Source organism: Homo sapiens, chromosome 8, assembly GCF_000001405.40.
Source record: "Homo sapiens chromosome 8, GRCh38.p14 Primary Assembly".
Classification (NCBI taxonomy): Eukaryota; Metazoa; Chordata; class Mammalia; order Primates; family Hominidae; genus Homo; species Homo sapiens.
Window position 1 is genome coordinate 79,156,466 of NC_000008.11, and position 1,327 is coordinate 79,157,792.

Sequence of the window (1,327 nt, forward strand, 5' to 3'; positions counted from 1 at the left end):
TTTATCATTTAATTTAGGTTAATTCTGCCAGTTCGTGCCTTTCCTAGGTTTTTTTTTTGTCTGAAAATGGTCTTATTTTCTCTTTGTTTTCATGAATACTTTTGTTGAATGCAGCAGTCTAGTTTGACTATTATTTTCTTTTAAAACTTTGAAAATAGCATTGGATTGTTTTTGACTTCATAGTTTCTATTGAATAGTCATCTTTTGGTTCATTATTGCTTTTTAGAGGGGATCGTGTCATTCTCTTTGGTTGCTTTTAAAATATTTACTTGGTTTCCTTTGGTTTAAATATTGAGTTGCCAAATAAAATACAATTAAATTACAATTTCAGATAGACAATGATTTTTTGGTGTAAGTATATACCAGATATTGCATGGAAGATATTTATACCCCAAAATTACTTGTTACTTATTTGAAATTTGAATTTAATGGAGCATTCAGTATTTTTTACTTCCTTAATTTAGCACACCTATTTCCAGAAGTATACACTAGTGATTTTAGTTGTGTTTTCTTCTATGTTTATCTTTCTAGATCTTCTTAAATCTTAGTTTGATGTCTTTCGGCAGTTTTGAAAAAAGTCTCAGACATTGTTTCTTCAAATATTGTTTTATTATGATTCCCTCTCTCCTTTACTTTGGACTTCCAATTGTATATATGCTAGATCTTTTTACATATTTTACAGGTTGTAAGATCTTTTCTGTTTACAAAAATTAGCCACGTGCACTACGGATGCACACCCGTAGTCCCAGCTACTCAGGAGGCTGAGGTGGGACGATCACTTGAACCCAGGAGGTCAAGAGGGCTGTGATCATACCATTGCACTCCAGTCAGAACAATAGAGCAAGACCTTGTCTCAAAAATAAATAAATAAGTGAATAAAAAGATTTCCTTCAGTTACTAATTATCTCTTTCTCTGTGCCTACCTCTTATTAAATTCACCCACTAATTTCAGTTACTAATTTCAGTTACTTTGTTTTTTTAATTATAGAATTGATGTTTGTTTATTTTGTTTATAAAATCTATTTTTTTGCTAAAATTCTCCATCTTATCATTAATTCCTTGAACACATTAATCATTATTATTGTTTTTAGACTCTACAATAGATTACCTCATTTACTGTATCTCTTGTGGTTTGCTCTTATTGTCTGTTTTGGACATCAGATTTTGGTTATGTTGAATCTTCTCATATTACTGTTTTCAAACTAAAGCCTGAATATTTTATATACAATTGGAGGCCTAGAACTTAATTAAACACATATGAATGAAAAATATATTTAATAATATTTTACTTGAGCTATGCCATTATGTTAAACTCTACTTTTATAGG